Below are 1,714 nucleotides of genomic sequence, written 5' to 3'. Positions count from 1 at the left end.
TCAAGAATCAAGAACCAGAAATAGGATTTGATCCAGCAATCCCATTACTGCATATATACCCAAAGGAATATAAATCATTCTACTATAAAGACACATGCACATGTATGTTTATTGCAGCACTATTTAAAATAGCAAAGATATGGAACCAACCCAAATGCCCATCAATGATAGACTGGATAAAGAAAATGTGGTACATACCCACCATGGAATACTATGCAGCCATAAAAAAGAATGAGCTTATGTCCTTTGCAGGGTCATGGATGAAGCTGGAAGCCACCATCCTCAGCAAACTAACACAAGAACAAAAAAACCAAATCGCACATATTCTCACTCATAAGTGGGAGTTAAACAATGAGAGCATATGGACACAGGGAGAGGAACAACACACACTGGGGCCTGTCGGGGGTTGTGGGGGCAAGGGAAGGGAGAGCATTAGGACAAATATCTAATGCATGTGGGGCTTAAAACCTAGGTGACAGGTGCAGCAAACAACCATGTCACATGTATACCTATGTAACAAACCTGCACATTCTTCACGTGTATCCCGGAACTTAAAGTAAAATTAAAAAAAAAAAAAGTTGTTGCCATATATAGCTCTGAATGAGGAATTAATGTTGAGAATGCTGAAAGTGGAGTTAGATCCTGTAGTTGTGAAGTAGGTTCACTGTGCACAGATTACCAATCTGTAATTTCTACCACTTGCCTGCGTTCAATGAGACAGAACACTCACACAACCATTTAAGGAAGCCACTTCATTGCTCATATATAGGAAGCAAGAAATAAAAGAAGCGTAGAATTTATGGCAAGTCAGTCCTTCAAGACTCATGAAAAATGCAGGCTGAATGCAGTATTGTCTGGACATGCCCCATGTCACACTGCAACTAAGTGACCCTGAATGCATTCCACTCTAGGTTTTTTATACACTGAAGTCACTTGATTCAACGGGCTAAAGCATTGCAAGATGCAATTTTCTTGACGGAATAGGAATGGATCCCAGGCTGTTCTGAACAGACCCTCCTTCTCAGGCTGTTTCATGCTCAGCACATTTTATCATTGTTCTAAGAACTACAAGTGGGAAAGGCTGACTTACATGAACATTAGTGGACTATCTGATGTTCTGGCTTCTCATTTGCTTTAGCCAATAAGAGGTCAAGCAGAAGACTGGAGGGAGGTGGGAGGCTGAGCTATTGAATCCCCTGGTCTTCTTCTAAGTGTGTGACTCTGAGCTGGTTGCACTCCTCAGCCAGGGTTAAAACTTCTGTTAGGCACTCCTCTGCACACATCTCTGTCATTCCAGGCTCTGGCATCTGCTCCTTCCAATCCCTTCTGGTCTCCTGTGCCACAGTATTCCTATGATACTGCACTATTTCTTTTGGTTTCTCTGTATCTTGCATACCTCTTTAGCCCCTTAATTAAACCCTCCTCAAATTACCCAGTTTAAATGTAATGTCTGTTCTGTTCGGTTTTTCAGAATCTATGATTCCTACAAAGAAATAAGCAAGCTGATTCCTAACTTCCCAGCAGGGAAATCTGCAAAGCATTGATGTATAGAACCAGAGTCCTCAAAGACCCAGGAATTGGCAGGAGCACTTACCAGTGGGATTAGTATTGATGAGGTGGGGATGAAAAAGTAAGTTACAGTGAGTATAAATGGCTTGAAAGGATTTTAAATGCTAATACCCTCCTCTAGTTCCTTTTAGCTAAGTGACCTGCC

The sequence above is a fragment of the Homo sapiens genome, chromosome 7, assembly GCF_000001405.40.
Source record: "Homo sapiens chromosome 7, GRCh38.p14 Primary Assembly".
Classification (NCBI taxonomy): Eukaryota; Metazoa; Chordata; class Mammalia; order Primates; family Hominidae; genus Homo; species Homo sapiens.
Note: the sequence above shows the minus strand (reverse complement) of the source record.